At 45.3% G+C, this 22,360-nt stretch overlaps 1 long non-coding RNA gene across 1 annotated transcript in view; it reads right to left on the bottom strand.

The window, feature by feature from the left end:
• The window catches only part of LOC105372630 (uncharacterized), a 59,516-nt gene continuing 39,163 nt past the window's right edge, over positions 2,008-22,360 (bottom strand). Inside the window, exon 3 of the long non-coding RNA XR_936763.3 lies at positions 2,008-2,284. This is a non-coding gene — a long non-coding RNA (uncharacterized LOC105372630). The remainder of the gene's footprint in view (positions 2,285-22,360) is intronic.

Raw genomic sequence — 22,360 nt, 5'->3', positions numbered from 1 at the left:
TATTCCTTCTAGAGGCTTTTGTTTCCTGGCCTTTTCCAGCTTCTAGAGGCTACCTGAATTCCTTGGGTCATGGCCCTACATCACTTCAGACTCAGTTTCCATCAGCACATCTCTTTCTCTGACTCTGACCTTCCCGTCTCTGTCTTATAAGGACCCTTCTGTTTATATTGGCATGACCTTGATAATCAAAGATAATCCCATCTCAAGCTATCTTTTTTTTTTTTTGAGATGGAGTTTTTGCTCTTGTTGCCCAGGCTGGAGTGCAATGGTGCGATCTCGGCTCACTGCAACCTCCGCCTCCTGGGTTCAAGCGATTCTCCTGCCTCAGCCTCCTGAGTAGCTGGGATTACAGGTGTATGCCACCACTCCCAGCTAATTTTTTGTATTTTTAGTAGAAACAGAGTTTCTCCATGTTGGTCAGGCTGGACTTGAACTTCCGACCTCAGGTGATCCGCCTGCCTCAGCCTCCCAAAGTGTTGGGATTACAGGCGTGAGCCACCGCGCCCAGCCTCAAGCTCTCTATCTTAACCACATCTGCAAAGTCCCTTTTGTCGTGTGAGGTGAAATCACAGGTGCCGGGGATTAAAATGTGTACATCTTTGTGGGGAAGGCCATTCTGCCTACCACATGGGGCTTGAAGCCAGGCTGACTGACTTCAGAGCAGCTGCTCTTAAGTACTCTGTGCCGGGCACCTTGCTAGGCTTGGTGAAGAGGGAGAAACTGATGATTGAGAAAAACTCTTGAGCTGAGGAAGCTCCGGGCTAGAAGGGCTGAGGTCCACCTGACTGTTGCAGAAAGAGGGAACTTCAGATGAGAGGAGGGAGAAATCCTGGAGAGGTGATCCTTAAACGGTGGCTGGAATTTCCGCAGGAGGCCATGGAAGACTTTACAGGTGAGTGAAGCTTGAACTATGCGTGGTCAGGAGGGACTGGAGTATGGGGGGATGGGAATGATCATCTTACCTGGCCATGAGGATCAGATGAGCTAAAGACCTATGGACTTGGCATGTGACCTCACCTTGCCTTACCATTCATTTTACAGTTGGGGAAACTGAGGCCTAGAGGCCAGAGTTGCCTGCCCAAGGTCACACAGAGAGAAAACATCAGTTGCACCAGGAAGAAGCCTAGTGGGGAGGTCAAACTGGAGCAGGGTAGTCAACTGATAGGGGGCACTGAGGGCAAAGGCCAGGCTCCTTCCTTCCTCTTCCCTGGAGTTGGCAGGCACTGGCTTCTCTGGGGTTTCTTTTCTCATGCTTTTTTCTCTTGCAATCTCCCTAATGGCCACTGGATGGCGCCGGGAGCACTGATTTGGAGCTGGGTCCTAGAGCCTTCGCAGGCCGTTGGCATCTGGCACTTGGGCTGCAGAGCCTGTCCTCCCTTAATTCCCCGACTCTGGCAGCCCCACCACCGAAGTCTACAAGCTGCTTCTGTTCCCATGCAGTGGCCCCATAGTCCTGGATTTGAAGACCAGCCCTGCTACTTACCAGGTGTGTGTTGGTGTTGACAGGTACTGGTTCCCTTTCTCACTTCTTGATTCCTTTCTCTCATTTCCCTTTCCTCCTACCAGCTTAACCCTGCTGGATACAGGGAATTCCTGTTCCCTAACCATGCCCCACATAAGGTCAGCTAGCGCTTGCTTCTTTGTTTATACCCCCATCTTACGTTATGGGATAGAAGACTTACAAAGGACCCGTGAATTCAGGAAAACAAACATCCATTAACTCAAGAACAGAAAGTGAGAACCCAAGTAACAGTGTGAGGAGAGTAACACTGCCAAGAAAGCTTAGATGGAGAAGGCACCGAGCCCGAACAAAGACCCCCGGGCCCGGGTCTTTTGGTACCCAGGCAAGCACGGGTTTATGTGGCTTTCAGAGCCTGTTAAGATCAGGAATAAAGCACGTAGATATTGGGGGAGTCCTGAGCCCAGGTGTGTGGAGAGAACTCAGCGCCCTCAGCCTTCTTGGTTCCCTGGAGAGTTTGAATCATTAAAAAACGACAATATCTTCCCTAGTGGTTAGCAGAGATGCCACTTCTGGAGCTGTTTCTTAGACTTAGTAACATGAACTAGGCATGGCCTTGGGTGGGAAAGGGCAGGGCAGGAAGGGCCTGTAACTTCAGCCAAGTGCTGGACTCGCTTTCTGAATTTCACCTCTGTGTTGTCTGGCTCTGTTTCTCCGTGGTTTTTGGCCTTTCTCTTCTTCTATTCTAGCTCACAGCTCTCTCCATTTCTGCAGCCGGCACAGCTGCTGTCTCTAAGGACTGTCTACTCTTCTGGTTCTTTGGACCTAGGATAGTGAAACAGGAGAGAAAACTATCAATTACCAAACACTGGCCTGCATGCTGGGGGCCAGGCTGTGCCTTTCATCTGTGTTGTCTCGTTGAAACCTCTCAACCTACAGGAGGGAAAACTGAACTTGAAAGAGGCCAGTTAGTTGCCCAAGGCCCAGAGCTTCCAAGTTAGGGTTTGAACCCAGGTGGTCTTGATCCCAGAGTAGGCCCATTTCACATTTCTACCCTTCAGTTATTAGGGACAAATTTGGACTTTTTCAAAGAAACCTTTTTCAGGAAGTTTATGGAGTAGACCAAAGCAAAGCCCGAGATACAGTGCAGGTGAATGGCAGGAGCCGCTCTGCCGTTTGTCAGCAGCACAGCCTCCATGGGACACTTTTGCCTCAGTGTCCCCTCTTGTAAAACCTGTGAGCAGGCCAGGCATGGTGGCTCACACCTGTAATGCCAAGCACTTTGGGAGGTTGAGGCGGGCGGATCACAAGGTCAGGAGTTCAAGACCAGCCTGACCAACATGGTGAAGCCCCGTCTCTACTAAAAATACAAAAATTAGCCGGGTATGGTGGCATGTGCCTGTAATCCCAGCTACTCAGGAGGCTGAAGCAGGAGAATCGCTTGAACCCAGGAGGCAGAGTTTCAGTGAGCCAAGATCGCGCCACTGCACTCCAGCCTGGGCGACAGAGGGAGACTCCGTCTCAAAAACAAACAAAACCAAGAAACAAAACAATAACAACAACAAAAAAAACCTGTGGGCAACGCCAACCTCATAGGTTAAAAGGAAAGAGCGAAGTCATTGATGAATGTGAACATGCACAGTGGATGATCAGGAAGGGCCCCTTTCTCTGCAGGCCATTACTTGCCCTTTTTCCACACCCTCCCACTCATTTGAAGTGGCGTGGCTTCAGATCCCCAGGCCCAATGAAGAAGTTCGGCCACATCACACAATGAAAAGCAAATTGCTGTTAAATACACAGAGGAGGGCATAAGCAGCTCAGCTTTATGGAGCCCAGGAAGGCTTCCTGGAGGAGGTGGCAAGTGAGCTGCACCAGCAAGGAAGGGTAGACATTCCGCAGATGATAAAGGAGGAGAGGGCTCCTGGGCACAGGACTCGAGTGGCTTTTCAAGGGCATGTGGGGAGGGTGAGGCTGGAGAAGACAGTCGCCCTCAGTCCCCCAGGTGGATCATGCTGCATCCCATGACAAGGGCTTGTGGGTTAGTGGTTCTAACCCACAAGACTTCATGGACTTATGAATCACCTGAGGGTCTGTTAAAATGCAGCATCCTGCAGTGGGGCCCAGGAATCTTTGTTTCTCCCAGCTCCTGGGTGACACTGCACAAGTGATCAGAGGAAGAAAGGAGACACAAAGCTTCTGGTGATGGACATGAGTGCTGGGCAAGGGCTCAGTGTCCTCCACCAGGCAGGGGAGCAGACTAGGGTCTCAGGATCTTGGGTGTGGGCGTGTACTAGACCTTGCGCCCCACATGAGCGGACGTGAGGAGCTAAGCTGAGAAACAGCAAATGGGAAAGCAAATGTGAATGCCAGGGCAAGCATTACAAGTTTGTTAGGAGTCACCAGGGGCTGGGCAGAGAAGGCAGGTTCAGTCACAAGGGTTTTAGTCCAGAGACATGTGCTGGAGAGGAGAGGGAAGGCTGGAAGGGGAGGTATGAGGAGCAACTGCTGGGAAGCAATTTTTTTGTTGCGGGAGGTGAGTGGCAGCCCTGGGGCTTTGGAAAAGGTGATAAAAAAGAACATATACTAAGGGCCTGAAATTCTAAGGACTTATGAAGAACCCATTTAATTCCCATAACCATCTTAATTAGAAAAATATATTGTTATTCTTAATTTACAGACAAAGAAACCCAGTCCCAGAAAGTAATTTGCACAGCAAATAAGCCGTGGAGCAGAGACTTAAGTCCAGACTGTGTCAGTCCAGAGCTGGGCACTGATTCTTCATTCTAGGGTATCCCAAGCTCATTTAAAACTCCCGGATCCATGAGCCACTGTTTCTTTCTGTTCTTCCTCCTGCCATGGACAATCCCATCTCCAGCCCACCTCATCCCTTGCTCTGCTCTTTCCCAGGTCCAAGATGGTTCTTTTTCCTGAAGCGGTGAATGGAACTGCTGCTGTTTATCCCTCTCTAGGCAGCCAGGGCATGCGTGTTCTTCCCAGCAGCTGAGATGAGGATGGAAATTAATAGAGGATATAGACAGAAAAAAGCTAACAACTAACTACACTATGCAGATAATAATTGAGGTGTATTTTCTCCCAGATGAACAAGATAATCTGAGTGACCCCTGTTCCCTATTACAGGACTCCAATTCCTAATCTTGGCAGTTGCCCCCCAAAATACCCTCCCAGTAAATGTTTCTTGAATACCTGCTTTGGGAATATGTTAGGTACTGTGCTGAACACTGGGGATTCAGTGGTGAAAAAGAGAGTCCTACACTGTCTTTAAGAAACTTGTGTTCTAGGAGAGGGCAGACAACAAGTCAGTAAATGAATAAGGTTTCAACTAGTGATCATTGCTGGGAAGATGATGAAATTGAGTAAGGGTAGAGAGCTGCGCTGTCCACAGGATTTCCGTGATGGTGGAAAGGTTCTATATCCTTGCTGTCCAACATAGCAGTCAATGTGACTAATGTGACCAAGAAACTGAATTTTAAGTTCTGTTTTAGATAATTTAAATTTAAATAGCCCCATGTGATTTGTGGCCACTGCGTCACTCATCACAGGTATAGAGGACACCTGGAAAGGGGAGAGGTGATTAAGTGAGGTGGTCAAGGGAGACTCCCTGAGGGGGCGAAATTTGAACTGAGGTCTGAGAGGGAGGCAGCCTTCCATTGTTCCAGGGGGAGAGAGTGCAGATGTGGGGGCCTTCTGGGATAAACAAAGCTTGAAGTTCTGGGGCGGAGAGAAGGCTTGTGAGCTGGCATTCACTGGGTGAGGTAGTGTGGTGGGAGCTGATGGTGGAGGGGTGGTGGGTACCGGATAACTGGGGCATGGCAGGCTGCGGCGAGGTGGGCACCCCTCATTCCCCTTAGCAACACAGCAGGTATAGCTGCCCTGCCCTTGCCTGCCCCCTTCTCTCTCAGGGCTGTGGGGAGGACTAGATGAGACCAGGTAACGTGCACATGCTCTGTAAGTTGTACAGAGCTGCCAGGCGATGGCTCATGCCTGTTAATCCCAGCACTTTGGGAGGCCGAGGCAGATGGATCACCTGAGGTCAGGAGTTCAAGACCAGCCTGACCAATGTGGTGAAATCTCATCTCTACTAAAAATAAAAAATTAGCTGGGCATGGTGGCGGGTGCCTGTAATCCCAGCTACTCGGGAGGCTGAGACAGGAGAATCGCTTGAACCCGGGAGGTAGAGGTTGCGGTGAGCCGAGATTACGCCATTGCACTCGAGCCTGGGCAACAAGAGCGAAACTTCATCTAAAAAAAAAAAAAAAAAAAAAAAAAAAAAGTTGTACAGTGCTGCCCATAAGGGTAGAGCTGTGGTTCTGAGTGTGATCTTGGACCAGCAGCATGAGCATCATCTGGGAACACGTTAGAAATGAACATTCTTGGGCCACACCCTGGATCTACTAGTTTAAAGCTCTGGGTGTGGGGCCCAGCAACGTTTCCAAAAGCCCTCCGGGTGGCTGTGATGCAGGCTCAAGTTTAAGAGCAACTGCAGAAGACTGGCGGCAATCACCTCCTCCTCCTCCTTCTCATCTCAGGCCCCCAACAAATTGTCCTTCCAACTCCAACCCTGGCAGAATTCCTTGGTGGCTCATTGCGCGCCCTAGCCCTCCTTCCCTCAGAGCTAGCTCAGCTTTTGGCTTCACATACACAGACTAAAACAAACAAACAAAAATCAGATAGATAAAACCTTTGTATTAAAAATATTTTCACCATACAAGCCGTCCAGGGTCGTCATTAAAATAAAACTTAGGCCAGACACAGTGGCTCATGCCTACAATCCTAGCAGTTTGGGAGGCCAAGGTGGGCAGATGGCTTGAGCTCAGGAGTTTGAGACCAGCCTGGCCAACATGAAGAAACCTCATCTCTGCTAAAAATACAAATATTAGGTGGTCATGGTGGCATGCACCTGTAGTCCCAGCTACTTGGGAGGCTGAGGTGGGAGGATAGCTTGAGCCTGGGAGGCGGAGGTTGCAGCGAGCTGAGATTGCACCACTGTACTCTCGCCTGGGCGACAGAGTGAGACTGTCTCAAAAAATAAATAAACAAAACGTCTATAGCATAGAACCGATCAAGTGAAAAAAGATCCCCTGCTTCCGTTAATCCTATTCCCTAGAGATTACCACAGAATGATTTCTTGTGATTCCTTCTAGACGTCTCCTATGCCTGTAGAGGCAGCTAGTGTAGTGCTCCAAAACCAGTTTGTTTGGTTTAAAATCCCAGGTTTGCTTATTTGTCAAATAAATTGGACAAGTTGTCTCAGTGTTGTCATTCAGAAAATGAAGTTAATAATAGCACCAACCTCATAGAATTGTTGTGAGGATTAAATAAATTCAAATAAAGCAATCAGGAGACAATCCACTTAACATTCTTACAACAGTGCCTGGTATATAGTATGTACAAACATGAGTGTTTGTTAATAAATAAAATGCATGGCTGAGGTTTAATTATTCTATGCCTTTTCCTTGGGGATATAGTCTTGAGAGAATAAGCCAAAGGTGCAGGAACAGTTGGAAAGCCATTTACGATGGGGATGATATTGAGAGCCACTGAAAAAATCCTGACCAGATGATTCTTGCCGGTGACCTCGGCTGACTTCCTTGGTTTCTGATCATTATTTCTTATTTTATTTTATTTTATTTTTTATTTTTTTTTGAGATGGAGTCTTGCTCTGTTGCTCGGCTGGAGTGCAGGGACGTGATCTTGGCTCACTGCAACCTCCACCTTCCAGGTCCAAGCGATTCTCCTGCCTCAGCCTTCCGAGCAGCTGGAACTACAGGCACACGCCAACACACTCGGCTAATTTTTGTATTTTTAGTAGAGACGGGGTTTCACCATGTTGGCCAGGATGGTCTCGATCTCTTGACCTTGTGATCCGCCTGCCTCGGCCTCCCAAAGTGCTGGGATTACAGCCATAAGCCACCATGCCCAGCCTCTAATCATTATTTCTATAAACTCCCTGGTATCTTTGCAAAGCTTCTAAGTTTCACAGTTTCAAAAAACATAGCAGGAGGGGGGTATTTACATAGAACCCAGTGTGGATGGTACACCCTGGACTTGTGAAATGGTCTGTCTGATATCAGCCAGGTGTGGCATGTCTGTTGCTTGCAACCAAGAACTCTGACCATGCCTTCCTCCATTCTTTCTAAGGGCTGTGTAGTATTCTACTCTATGTATGTGTTGTATTTCACTTAACCATTTCTTATTGATGGATGTCTGGATAGTTTAGCTATTCTACACTACACAGACAAATGCAATGACAAGCTTCCCAGAGCCTATTGTCCAGCCCCCACCTGTACCCTATTCCCCCCGCTTTTTTTTTGGAGACAGGGTCTTGCTCTGTCATCCAGGCTGGAGTGCAGTGGCACAATCACAGTTCACTGAAGGCTTGCTCTCGCAGGCTCAAGTGATCTTCCCACCTTAGCCTTCTGAGTAGCTAGGACTACAGGTGCATGCCACCACAACTAGCTATTTTTTTCATTTTTTGTAGAGATGAGATCTCACTATGTTGTCCAGGCTGGTCTGAAACTCCTGGGCGCAAGTGATCCTCCCACCTCAGCCTCCCAAAGCTCTGGTATTATAGGCATGAGTGACTGCATCCGGCCTGAAATGGGCTCTTTATCTTACATGATCCTGTGTAGTGCTCATGCCAACACTGTGAAGTTTGCATCAACACTTTCCCTCTACAGATGAGGCAGCTGAGGTCAGAGAGAGGATGAGATATGCCCCCAAACCATCAGTGAGCCCCTTGATGAGCAGGGCTCTTGCCACTTCATCAGGGTGGTCAGTCGGGGGGAGAATGTTTGGGATGAAAGCGGGGGCCTTCCCTTGACTCAATACCAGCTGGCAAAAGGCAGAGGTTCTTGGAGGAGAGAGGTAAGTCAGGGAAGGACTCGTGGGAGTGCTGGGGAGCCTTCCACTGTCAACTCAGCTGCTTTCCAGAGGGCAAGAGGAGAGAGAGGGTGGAGGACAGTTGGCATGTGGATTGAGGAACAATAATGATGATGATGCTAATAATCACAGTGACTAATGTTTTGGGCGAGTCACAAAGCAATTTCCTATTATGAATAGTTCAGCAGAGCCACACAACCATCCCCTTGGAGGAAGACAAGGCAATGTGGCTACTCCCATTTTGCAGAAGGGAAAATTCAGGACTGGAGAGGGAGAGTAACTTGCCCAAGTTTACATGTCAAGATAATCGCCATGCTGGGTGGGGCCAGACCTTTCAGGTCCCAGCCCAGGATCTAGCTCCCTCCCATGGGCCACAGCTGTGGCTGGCAGAGAGGTGCGGCTTTTGTCAGGGCTGAAGCTCAGCCACACCCTCTCTCCAGCCTCAAGTTGGGTGCCAGGCAGAGGGTTTGGACTGAAGGCTGGGGATGTCAAAGGACAGAGGGGTCTGGTTTGAGTGGGGGCCACCCCCCAAGTCATCCACATGTCCTCCAGATCTCCCTGACCCCGCCCACTGGCTGACTCGTGGCTGGTTCTGCCCCAGGATCTGATTCCATGGGTTTGGCCTGGATTCTGCTCCTTCTCGTGGAGAAAGTGTGTGTGTGTGTGTGTGTGTGTGTGTGTGTGTTTCCATGTATATGTGTGCGTGTGTGGTGTGCTTCTGTGTGTTTGTGTACGTGTGTGTGTTGTGTATATGTGTTTCTGTGTATGTATATGTGTGTGTATGTATTTGAGTGTGTGTACATGTGTATCTGTGTGTTTCCATACGTATGTGTTGGTGTGTGTGTTGTGTTTGTGTTGTATGTTTGTGTGTGTATATTGTGTGTTTGTATGTGTATGTGTGTTTTGGTGTGTGTTTGTGTTTTGGTGTGTGTTTGTGTTGTGTGTGTGTGTGTGTGTGTGTGTGTGTGAGGGAGAGAAAGAGACACCTCTCCTGGCAGTGGCCCTCATTCATGCTGGCTCTTCCCCACACCCTTCCTCCTGGCTCAAGCTTAGCAGTCCCTCTGCTTGAAGAAAACAAGCGTCCTTCATGAATAAGGGCCATGGAGCACCTACTATGTGCCAGGCTCTGTGCTTGGAGCTTTCACCTCTATTGTTTTCACTTGAGCTGCACCTTAACCCTTTCCAGTGGGTTTCCCTGTTACCCTCCCATCCACATCTTCAAAACCAACTGTGGCCCAGGATTGAAACTGCTTTCTAATTTCATCAAAGAAGGAAGGCTGTGGGTTTCCAAGAAGAAAGTGGAGCTACATCACTTTCATTTTGCCATCTTTAATTAGAAGTTCTTGTATTATTTTTCTAATAAAAAAATCACTGGCTAACAGGTGTCTGCCCTGCTGTTGGAGGCACGTGCACCTGGGCCCTGGGCATCACGGCCAAGTGCAACATAAGCCCTAATGCAAACCATCCTTCTACTATGTTTAATTTAAATATTTGTATCAAATATAGAAACAACAGGATGGGAGAGAGAGTAGAAAGGAAAAAACAGACAGTAAGCAAACAACACCTTTAAAAAATGTGTGAGGTAAATTCAAAGGGGCTGATGTGTTATTGGAAAGAATTCTGGATGATGACATTTTGCAATAGAAATGAGAAAATTAAGACCCTAGTTACTTTCCCCAACAGAGACTGTTCATGTCCCCCTCCTCCAGAGGGTGTCACATCTATTTCAAAGAGTCATGTTGCCCCTGGGAGGTGTGCAGAGGACTTGTGGTCTCTTTGTTCCTTGATGTCTTGTGTACCCATTGTAATTTCTTATGCCCTGCAACCCAGAGAAAGGAGTGGTCTTTTATCTGTTTTTTTTTTCTTTTTTCTTTTTTTTGAGACAGTCTCACTCTGTTGCCTAGGCTGTAGTGGAGTGGCAAGATCTTGGCTCACCGCAACCTCCACTTCCCAGCCTCAGGTGATCCTCCTTACCCGAGTAGCTGGGACTACAGGTGCACACCACCACACTCAGCTAGTTTTTTTTTTTTTTTTTTCATTCTTTTTTGGTAGAGACAGGGTTTCGCCATGTTGCCCAAACTGATCTCGAACTCCTAGGCTCAAGTGATCCACCTGCCTTGGCCTCCCAGAGTGCTAGGATTACAGGAGTGAGCCACTGAGCCTGGCCAGGAGTTGTCTTGAGATAGCAGAAATAGTAATTGACTAAAACATCATGTGCATTTCCACAAACAAAAGAGAAACTAATAATATCTTGTTATACATAACTCCAACTGTTTTATTTAGGCATTTTATAAATGGTACAAGCATCTGTAAGACTTTTTGCTATATATTTCCATATTACTTCCTATTTTTCTTTCTTTTTTTTTTCTTTGAGACAGTCTTGCTCTGTTGCCCAGGCTGGAATGCAGTAGTGCGATCTCGGCTTACTGCAACCTCTGCCTCCTGGGTTCAAGCAATTCTCCCGCTTCAGCCTCCTGAGTAGCTGGGATTACAGGAATGCACCATCATGCCTGCCTAATTTTTGTATTTTTAGTAGAGATGGGGTCTTGAACTCCTGACCTCAAGTGATCCACCCGACTTGGCCTCCCAGAGTGCTGGGATTACAGGCGTCAGCCACTGAGCCTGGCCCCTTATTACTTTTTAGAAGGAGTGTGAATGTATGTACATTTTATGGATTTGCTCTTCCCCAGAGAAAGTCATTTTGAGGATACAGTATATCATATAGCAAGGGCTAACACTTTAGGGCCAGGCCCACCCGAGTTTGAATCTCTGCTTTGCCACTTTCTAGCTGCAGCATGTTCAAAAAAATCTCACTTGTAACCCCTCTGAGCCTCAATTTCTTTAAAAAAAAAATGAGAGTACATCTTGATTTGTAAATCTCAGCCCACAATGCAGGGATTAAATTAGAGCATGCATGTGAAGCGTGGTGCAGAGGGCAGTAGTAACAGCAGGGTAACAACAGCAAACACTTATTGTGTGACTGTTATGTGCCAGGCATCTTATTTAATCCTCAGAATTGGCAAATGAAGTAGGCGTTTTTATTTTCCCCATTAAACAGCCAGGAAGGGGAAGGCTAGGACCTGAACTCACCTCTTGGTGCAGCTTCAATAAATGGGAGCCATATAGAAGAGAAGCTGGGATAACCTCATTGGCTTGCAAGGTCTTAGCAAGAGACTTTCTGGGACCTGGCAGTGGCAAAGAATTCAAGGAGACTTGTCTAGATTGACATATAATCTGGGATGAGAGGCCAGCTGGGGACACCTCCTACTTCAGAGGTGAAGTGTATAGGAAGATGTACGCATTGTGGGGACAGGAGGGAGCCAGGGTAGCCAAGAGCAAAGGAGCAGGGAGGAAATGGCAGGAGGGGAGGTGGGAGCCCAGGCTGGGGCAGGAATGAAGGACACATCAGGGTGAGTACAGGACATAGAAATTAGGCGGGGTAGAGCTAGAACTTCAGAGGGTTGGAGGCTAATGTGCTGCAGCCATGTGCTGGGGGCAGGCAGCATTCAAGCGGGGAAGGACGCCAGGGCCACTTTGTGTTAGATCCTAATATTAAGAGATGGAGGGAAAGGTGGACCCCTTCCCCTACCCCGCTGCGTGGGTTAATAATATTTCAATTTAGGAAATTACAGGTACTTCATATATAATTTTATAATCACATTTTGAAGGTAGGATGAATTAGATTTCCTAATGGATTGGATATGGAGTGTAAAAGTAAGTGAGGAGTCAAAGATGATGTCAGGATTTTTGGTCGGAGTGACTAAAAGGATGATGTCATCATCAACTGAGATGGGATAGGCAAGGCAGTTTTGGCAGGTGAGATCACCTCAGGTGAGGCAAATGAGCCTCAAAAAAATTGAGGCTCAGGAATGCAGTTTTAGATCTGCTAAATTTGAGATGTATATGAGGCATCTATGTTGAGACATTAGGAAGTCAGTTGGATATAAGAGTTTGGAGTTTAGGTGAGAGGGCTGGGCTGGAGATACAAATATGGGAGTCATCAGCATTCAGCAGTACTTGAAGCTACGATACTGGTGAGAAAAAAAAGAATGAGATCATGTCCTTTGCAGGAACATGGATAGAGCTGGAGGCCATTACCCTTAGCAAACTAACGCAGGACCAGAAAACCAAATACCACATGTTCTCACTTACAAGTGGGAGCTAAATGATGAGAACACATGGACACATAGAGGGGAACAACACACACTGGGGCCTGCCTGAGGATAAGGGGTGAGAGGAGGGGGAGGATTAGGAAGTATAATTAATGGGTATTAGGCTTAATACCTGGGTAACAAAATAACCTGTACAACAAACCCCCGTGCCATGAGTTTACTTATACTACAAACCTGCACGTGTACCCTTGAACTTAAAATAATAGTTAAAAAAAGGAAGGAAATGAGTATGGATAAAAAGGAAGACCAAGAGCTGAGCCCAGGGATCCACAGAATTTGGTGTTTGGGGAGGAGAGGAGGAACCAGCAAAGGAGACTGAGGGAGCAATCCATGAGGAAGGAGTAAAACCAAGACATCATGCTGTCCTGAAGCTAAGTGAAGAAAGTAAATCAAGGAAGAGTGAGCAATCACCCATGGCAAGTGCAGCTGGTGGGCCAGCTAGGACTAGAGATGAGAACTGACCATGGACTTAGCAAGCTGGAGAACAATGGTAACTTTGACAAAGACATTGTCAGTGGAGTGATGAGAAGGTGGTGGTGGGGGCAGACTGGTTGGAGTAGGCATAGGCGAGAGAGGATGGGAGGTGATATGATTTGAATCTGTGTCTCCACCAAATCTCATGTTGAACTGTAATGCCCAGTGTTGGAGGTGGGGCCTGGTGGGAGGCAGTTGGATCGTGGAGGTGGATTTCTCCTGCATGGTTTAGGGCCATCCCCTTGTGCTGTTCTCGTGATAGTGAGTGAGTTCTCATGAGATCTGGTCATTTAAAAGTGTGTGGCTAGGTGCAGTGGCTCATGCCTGTAATCCCAGCACTTTGAGAGGCCAAGGCGGGCGGATCACCTGAGGTCAGGAGTTCAAGACCAGCCTGACCAACATGGTGAAACTCCATCTCTACTAGAAATACAAAATTAGCCAGGCATGGTGGCAGGCGCCTGTAATCTCAGCTACTCGGGAGGCTGAGGCAGGAGAATCGCTTGAACCCGGGAGGCGGAGGTTGCGGTGAGCCGAGAGTGCACCATTGCATTCCAGCCTGGGCAACAAGACTGAAGCTCTATCTCAAAAAAAAAAAAAAAAAAAAAAAAAGTGTATAGCACCCCCACCCCCCTACTAATCTCTGTTGCTCCTGCTCCTGTTATGTGAAACACCTGCTGCCCTTTTGCTTTCCCCCATGATTAGAAACTTTCTGAGGCCTCCCCAGAAGCCAAGCAGATGCCACTATGCTTCCTGTACAGCCTGCAGAACCGTGAGCCAATTCAACCTCTTTTCTTTATAAATTACCCAGTCTGAGTTATTTCTTTATAGCAGTGCCAGAACAGATTGATACAAGCAGAAAGGAATTAGAGACACCACGTGTGGATATCTCTTTGAGGAGTTTTGCTACAAACAAATTTTTTTTCTCCTTGTCTGAGAAATTCAACTAAGCCTATAAAGAGATACATAAAATAGCCCCACCTTTTTTTTTTTAAAGAATAGTTTCAGGCTTACAGAAAACTTATGAAGATTATACAGAGAGTTTCCAAATATCCCTCATCCTATTGTTAACGTTTTACTTTAGTATGACATATTTGTCACGACAAATGAACAAATGTTGAATCATTATTATAACTTAAGTCCAGACTTTATTCATATTTTCATACTTTTAACCTAACATGTTTTTTTTTTGTTTGTTTGTTTTATTTTTGCTTCAGGATCCCCATCCAGGATTCACATTTAGTCACCATGGCTAGTTAAGCTCTTCCGGACTGTAATAATTTCCCACACCTTCCTTGTTTTTGATGACCTTGATGTTTTTGAGGAGTACTAGTCAGGTGTTTTCTAGGATGCCCCTCAACTGGGGTTTGTCTAATATTTTCTTTCTTTCTTTTTTTTTTTGAGGCAGAGTCCTGCTCTGTCACCCAGGCTGGAGTGCAGTGGCATGATCTCAGCTCACTGCAACCTCCGCCTCCCGGGTTCAAGTGATTCTTTTGCTTCAGCCTCTTGAGTAGCTGGGATTACAGGTGTGAGCCACCATGGCCAGCTAATTTTTTTGTGTTTTTAGTAGAGACAGGGTCTCACCATGTTGGCCAGGCAGGTCTCAACTCCTGACCTCAGGTGACCCACCTGCCTCGACCTCCCAAAGTGCTGGGATTACAGGTGTGAGCCACTGCGCCCTGCCATTGTCTAATATTTTCTTATGGTTAGACTGGGGTTATGGGTTTTAGAAGGAAGATCATAGAGGTGAAGTGCCATTGAAAGAAATAACTTTAAACCTTTGACCTGGGTCTTAGCAAGGTTAAGGGGGGCAGTGTTAGGAAAAATGGAAAGTCCAGCAGTGAGTCTTGTCTCATTCCCCTATTTGAAAAGGGGAAAGGCACTAACATGGAAACACCCACCCTGTGGGGGGCATCCTGAGTGGAGTACAGGGTAGGCAGTTCTCAGAGCTCTCTACACCTAAAAAAAAAAAAAAAAAAAAAAAAAAAGACCGGAAGGTGGGAAGGGGAAAAATTGAATTCAGGCTTTTGACGTGTTTGTGCTAAGGGCAGAAAATTTTGGGCTTTTTTGATGGAACTCCTGAGTCTAGGAATTTTTTTTTTTTTTTTTTTTGAGATGGAGTTTCGCTCTTGTTGCCCAGGCTGGAGTGCAATGGCGTGATCTTGACTCACCACAACCTCCGCCTCCCGAGTTCAAGTGATTCTCCCGCCTCAGCCTCCCGAGTAGCTGGGATTACAGGCATGCGCCTGCACGCCCAGCTAATTCTTGTATTTTCAGTAGAGACGGGGTTTCTTCACGTTGGTCAGGCTGGTCTCCATCTCCCGACCTCAGGTGATCTGCCCTCCTCGGCCTCCCAAAGTGCTGGGATTACAGGCATGAACCACTGCGCCTGGCCGGGTCTAGGATCGAGTCTTCAACTTTTCTTATTCCCAAACTTGATCTTAGCAGCTTCATCAGAGATGCTGATGTTCTAGGAATGGAGTGCATCAACCAAATACAGAGAAGACTCAAGCCTACACAGGAGCTTGTGGTTTATAACACAGTGGGAACATACACGGCATCATTTGATCTTCACGACCCTCTCCAGATAGAGGCATTATTGTCTCCGTTTTGCAGATAACTTAAAGGGAGGTTGAAAGAGGAAGCAGTGACTTGCTGAGGAACACATAACTAGCAAGTGACAAAGCAGGGCCGAGAATCAAGGTCAGCTGAAATCAAGCCCAGAGTTCTTGCCACTCCTGGAGAGAGTCTGGAACATAACCTAATAATTTATTCCATGGAGTATCTACCTGGCCACTGTTCTTAACACTCAAGTATGCGGTCTGGAGCCTGTCCCCTGTCCTTCCCTCTATTATGGTACATGGAAAACCCAGTTAGTCACTGAAAATGTTGCTGAGTCTCTTTCAGACATGCAGATGGGACTGCAAATTAGTACAGTTTTCCTGGAAAATAGTCTTGCAATCAACACCAAGGAATTTATAAATATTGGTGTTCACTGACATCATAGTTTTACTTCTGAACATCTGCCCCAAGAAATATGGACCAATGGAAATACATAAAATATAGGAAAAAGTTTTGTGCATGATGAGTGATATTTACGTTAGGGCTTTTATAATAGCAAAAACTAGAAATAACATGAACAGGCAGTAGGGGACTGGCTAAGTACACTGTGGTGGACATTTTTACTGGATGGAATGTCATGTGGATAAGAAAGTGATGTTTAGGAAGGGTTCATAAGAGCATTGGAAAATGCCTGTGAGGAACAGATTTTTTTTTCTAGAATATTTGGATGTAAGAAATGTTTTGTTTGATTTTTTTCTAAATTAAGTTAAATTAAATCTTGTCTTACCCCACCCCACCTACTGGTATGGTATATAAGTCATTTACATCATTGAGCCTCTCTCCCATTTCCATTGGCTCCTACAAGAATCTCAAGGTTTATTAGGACCCTTCAAATCAGAGCAATAGCCTTTTCCTTAGCCCTTGATTGTCAGTACTGTCTACCATTGTTCTTTGACACACAACGCCACTGTCGAGTGTGGCTCTCCATGATTTGCTTCAGGAAGGCTACAGGCAGCGCCTCTTCCAGCAGTCCTCTCCTTTGACCATGGAAGTGGCCACAGAAACTCTTACTTTTTCCTCAAGTCTGAAATATCTCTTAGACTGTGACATAGGAACACATCCCTACACCTCAGTTTTCTTATTTGTATAACGAGACCATAAAACTAACTAATTCATAAAATTTACTGTGAGAGTTAAATGAGAGATAGCATGTGGAATTGGACCTCAGCTCACTCTGACGACAGAGTCTTATCTTCTTTTTGTACCTGGGGCAGACAGCCAGTTGGATGGCCTCAGGAGCTGTTATTTTTTCAGGCTGCCATTGATTTTTAGATTTAAAACTTCTGCACTTCAAAAAAAAAACTATTAAGCAAATGAAAGTCAGTCACTAGGACTTGGAGAAAATATTCACAATACATGTACCTGACAACGGATGATTACATTGTGCAAAGGATATGTGTATATTAACAGAATATAGATATATAAAGAGCACCTATGACTCAGTCACACGAAGACAAAAAACAAAAAAGGGCCAAAGACTTAAATAGCTATTTCACAAAAGAAGATACATGAATGGTCATTATCGGCACATGAAAAGATGCTTAACATTGTTAATTACCAGAAAATGCAAATGTAATCCACAATGAGATATTACTTTGTATCCACTAAAGTGGCTAAGACAAAATGGACTGACAATATTAAGTGATGGTGAGGATGTGAAGCAACTAGAATTCATATGCATTGCTGCTGGAAATTCAAAATGGTACAACCACTTTGGAAAATTTTGGTAGTTTATGATGAAGTTAAATATACATCTACCCTATGACTTGCAATTTTACTCCTAGGCATTTACTCAAGAAAAATGAAAGCATATGTCCATATAAAGATTTGAAAAGAATATTTAAAAATGCTCTATTCATAATAGCCCCAAACTAGAAAAAATCCAAATGCCTGTCAATAGAAGAATGGATAAAAAGATTGTGGATATTCATATAATGGAATATTACTTAGCAATAAAAAGGAACAGGTTGTCAACACAGGCAACAACGTGGATGAATCTCAAAAACATTATGTTTAACCAAAAAAACTAGACAAAAGATTACATACAATATAATTCCATATATCTGACATTCTAGAACACGCAAAACTAATCAATAGTGAAAGAAAGCAGATCAGTGGCTGCCTAGGGCAGGGATTTATTCCCTAGCGGGTAGCAAAGTTGATTATAAAGGAACACAAAGAAAATATTCCGGAGTGATGGAAATATTCTGTATCTTGCTGGGGCAGTGGTTACATGTGTGTATACATTTATTAAAACACATCAACTAGTACATTTGAAACCTGTGCATTTTATTAAATGTAAATTATATGTATGATAGAACTAAAAATGATTCATGCTTTAAGGTTTAATAGTTTAGAGAATCCCCCTCTGGTCCCAGGCCTCTCTTGTGGATAGTGTTCAGCTCTGGTTGACAGACACTTAATCTCCAATGTTCTTTTTTTCAAGGTCTTGTCAGAGCTCCAAACTTCAATTCCTCATGACAGATTGCAGCTTCCTTCATTAGCAATTTGATAAATGGGATGCCTTCCTCTAAGCCCTTGAGAGATTGCCAGAAATGCCCCGGTATGTCTCTGATAAAAATCATTTCTGGGGTGACTGTTGGTGGAAGTCATTCAAGCTCTCCCATTATCAGTCTATTTCCCTATCTTTTAACACAAACCTTTTCTGCCTTTGCCTCAGATTCCAGGTCTCATCTTCCCTGAGACCTCAAGCTCCCCTCTGTAGGGATTTCATCACTGAGGAGAAGCACCCTCTTACCAGCCTACATAGAATTTTATTCTGGGAAATCATTGGGGGCGGGGGGACATTTAACAAGTACAAGTCAGGAATGGTTTAGGTGGGAAAACCCCAGCTGGGGAATGGTTGGACCACACAGTTGTCATCTGTGTAGGAGATGTTGCAGTCCCATCTGTCATCTGTCACCCATTGATTATCAGGGAGGATTTGAATGATCTGATCTTTCCTTATTTTTCCTAATTTCCCAATCTTTTTCTTTGTCATCCAGCTTAGCAGAGTTTTTTTTTCACTGTGGCCAACACTACCATGAGGGCATCTGGCCACCAACCCAGTTGCCTGACCCCAGACTGGGGGTGATATGCCAGTGCCTTTATCCCAGCTTGGTATAAGTTCGCATTTTTAAAGGACCTTTTCTAATTAAGAACAAAGAAAACCATAAATGTCCAGACACGGTTTAGGGGCCCCAGGGATGGGCAAAGTTGGAGAGTGAAGTGGCTTCTTTCTGAATGCATTCACTTGTTCATTCCACAAGTTATTTTCTGCATCTGATGTTTATTGAGCACTGACTATGTGTCAGGTCCTATGCCTTGCATCTAAGACAAAGATATGAACCAAACACAAAGGTTCCTACATTCATAGAGCTAGCATCCCTAGTTATTGAGTACTGGGTATGTGTTATTTTGCTATGAATACAGAGGTGAAAAAGATTGATACAGTCCCTACTCTCAAAGGGCTCTCAGTCCAGTGCAGGAAGATACAGATTAACAGGTAGATGTAATGTAGAAAAAAGGAGAAGGTTGGGGAACATCAGAGGAGCATCCAACAGACAAGGAAATCAGAATTTAAGTGATAGAGGCATGAACTAGACTTCCAGCAATGGGTCTTAATCTTTTTGGGATCTAAGCCATTTTGAGAAGCTGATGAACTCACACCTCTGAAAAATGCACATGACAGTGGCATATCATTTCCTGGGATTTATGGATCCCAGAAGGGATCTAAGGACCTCAGATAAAGAAGCCCTGACAGAGAAATAAGGCCTCAGAGTGGAATCGGGACAGCCAGAATGGCCCCATCTAAGAAAGAAACCCCTGCCCTTCCCAAAGAAACCTGCTTGGAGGTGGGAGCTGGCTAAGGGTTCACCTCTACTGGGGCTGGGGGGATGGAGAAAGCATGGCATTTCCTGGAGGCCCAGGAGTGTCAGTGCTAGGAGGGGTCTTCACCTTGACTTAACACAACCCAGCACACTCTTTATACAGATGGGAAAATTAAGGCTTGGGAAGGGCAATACCTTACCCCTCCCAAGCCATTCAAGATTATGCATTGAATCAGAAACAAGTTCCCAAGAATTCTTGTCTCTGAGCTTCCATTCAGAGAGAATGGTGCACAGAGTAGAGGGACTCCAGCCAAAGCTAAAGATAGCAAAGCTAAGGCAGTGGAGAGGGAACTGCAGTCTTAGACAGAGGAGACAGAACCAGGTTGGGCTAGTGGTCAACTAGTCTGAACTAGATCTCCCCAGAGATGAGTGTCTGAAGTGACAGAAGAGACTGACATCCCCTCTGAGATCCAACCTGGCAGGAAGGACATTGTAATGATAATAATAATAACCACTCTTTTAGACTTACTGCAAGCCAGACACTGAGCTGGGTGCTTGATGATTGTTCTGCCATTTACTTGTCCCAGTAACCCTAGGAATGCATGAATAAGTCTGCTTCACATAGGTTAATGAAAACAGCAGAAGTCTCTTCACTTGCCCAAGATCACACAGGAAACAAATTGTCGAGCTAGTCTTTGAACTCAGGTCATGCTAATCCCACAGTTTACCTCTTAGTCGTAATTGTGTCTATGTGTTTCTTATTCACATTTGTATTCCCAGTAGGCATTTGTGAGGGATTGAATGAGTAAACAAGAGTTAGGAAGAAGTATTGGATGCTGGCTGGAGAAGGCTCAGTTGGATTCGAGAAGCCAGATTGAGTCAAGAGGCATGTGGCAGCAGGGAACAGGCCCCAGGGAGTGCCCATGGGGGTAACTCTACCTGGCAGGTGACTTGAGCAGGGCTCCTCCTCTCAAGTCTCAGTTTTCTTCTGCTGAGAAATGGTTGATTTGGCCTAGATGATCTTCGAGACGCCTTCCAGTGCTAACACACTATGGTTTTGGGATTTAGAACCAAGAACCAGGTCAGGATGGCTCTGAGCTACTAATATAAAACCTGATTCTGACCCAGAGGGTACTTGGGGACTAGACGGAGGTGACCACAAAATTGTAGGTGGACCAGGAAGACTGGGCACAGAGAAGGGAAACAAAAACCTTCCATTAGGTAAGTCTGCCAACAAAAATAGGAAAGTATATGCATAAAAATAATGCTGGGAAAGCAAGCTATTTCAGACAGTTGACAAAACCAAGGGATAACCTTTTCCTGAGTTAGAGCTAATTTTGGTTAATTTAATACAAGCCACAAGGCTGAAGTTTTAGAAAACCAAGATACCTAGAAACCAATCAAATGGTTTTTCTGTTGCCCTAAAGTCTGTTTCCAAAACACTATTCAGCCATCACCACATTGATTCCAGTCCTAGTAATAGTAGGATAGTAATGGTGGGAAGGAGCATAGAAGGTTTTTATCATAACTTTATTTATTTATTTTGAGACAGAGTCTTGCTCTGTTGCCCAAAGTGCAGTGGTTTTGCCAGGATGATCTTGAACTCCTGGACTCAAGCAATCTGCCTGCCTTAGCCTCCCAAAGTGCTGGGATTACAGGCATGAGCCACCCCACCCAGCTATAATTTTATTTTTAAGAAAGGAAGTGTTCTTTTGTCTTTCCCGATCTCTCTTGATGCACAAATGATTGGCTGTAGTAAAACCTATGTTAATTCCACTGCTTCCCTTGAGGCAGGTTCCATAGGCACGTCCTACCGTGCTTTGAAACTAAACAAAACAGCCAGCTGGCACAATGTTTCCATAGAGAGAAACTTCTCACAGGTACTTTGTAATCACTTCATGTCCTGTTTGTTGCAACACATAAATTTTGTTTCTGAGAAATGTACACCAATCTTGGTATAACTTGCTTAATTGTGATACTCAATTTAATTTCACTTTTAAACCAATACTGAGAAAAATAGTTGTTAGTGTTGGGAGGTTCCAGGATTATAAAAGGCATTTTGATTAGGGACCTCTTGAAACAGCAACAAACTTAACAATTGTCACTCGAGACAAAATGTAAGTAACAGCCTAATCCCCAAAATCACCTTGAAATAAGAATTTTAAGACTTTTAGGGGGATAAAAGGAATAAGATCCATAAAAAGAGAAGAGGTTCCATAAACATCCATCCACCCATGTTTTCTTAACATCCATAAAAGACATTAGGAAATAAAACCAGGTAGATATGAATCAAGAACAGATGGATATGGAAAAAATAAGAGTGTGTAAACGCACCCAATTCAAGTTTTAGAATGAGGGAAAAGAGAGAGGAGGATATTTAGAGAAGTAATAGGAGATAAAAATTTTTATTTGTATTTGTATTTTTGAGGTGGGGTCTCACTCTGTCACCCAGGCTGGAGTGCAGCGGCACAATCTTGGCTCACTGTGACCTCCACCTCCTGGGCTCAGGTGACCCTCTCACCTCAGCCTCTGGAGTAGCTGGGACTACAGGTGCACACTACCACGCTCGGCTACTTTTTGTATCTTTTGTAGACACGGGATTTTACTATGTCACCCAGGCTAGTCTTGAACTCCTGGACTCAAGCAATCCACTCATCTTGGCCTCCCAGAGGGCTGGGATTACAGGCATGAGCCACAGTGCCCAGCCAAAAATTTTTTTAGAATTAAAAATGTGAGCGATCACCTCAAAAGCATACATGAAATATGGAGCATAATGAATTAATTAACATCTATACAACAAGATACTTGGCTTTGGTTACAAGTCCATGGAAGCAAATAGACCAGAAGCTGACTAACATTACGGGTTGTATTGCCAGGGAAAGTTCAACACTGGCCAACAGGGTGGT

Source organism: Homo sapiens, chromosome 20 (assembly GCF_000001405.40).
Source record: "Homo sapiens chromosome 20, GRCh38.p14 Primary Assembly".
Taxonomy (NCBI): domain Eukaryota; kingdom Metazoa; phylum Chordata; class Mammalia; order Primates; family Hominidae; genus Homo; species Homo sapiens.
The sequence above is the reverse complement of the archived record's forward strand: the minus strand, read 5'-3'. Positions and strand labels throughout refer to the sequence as shown.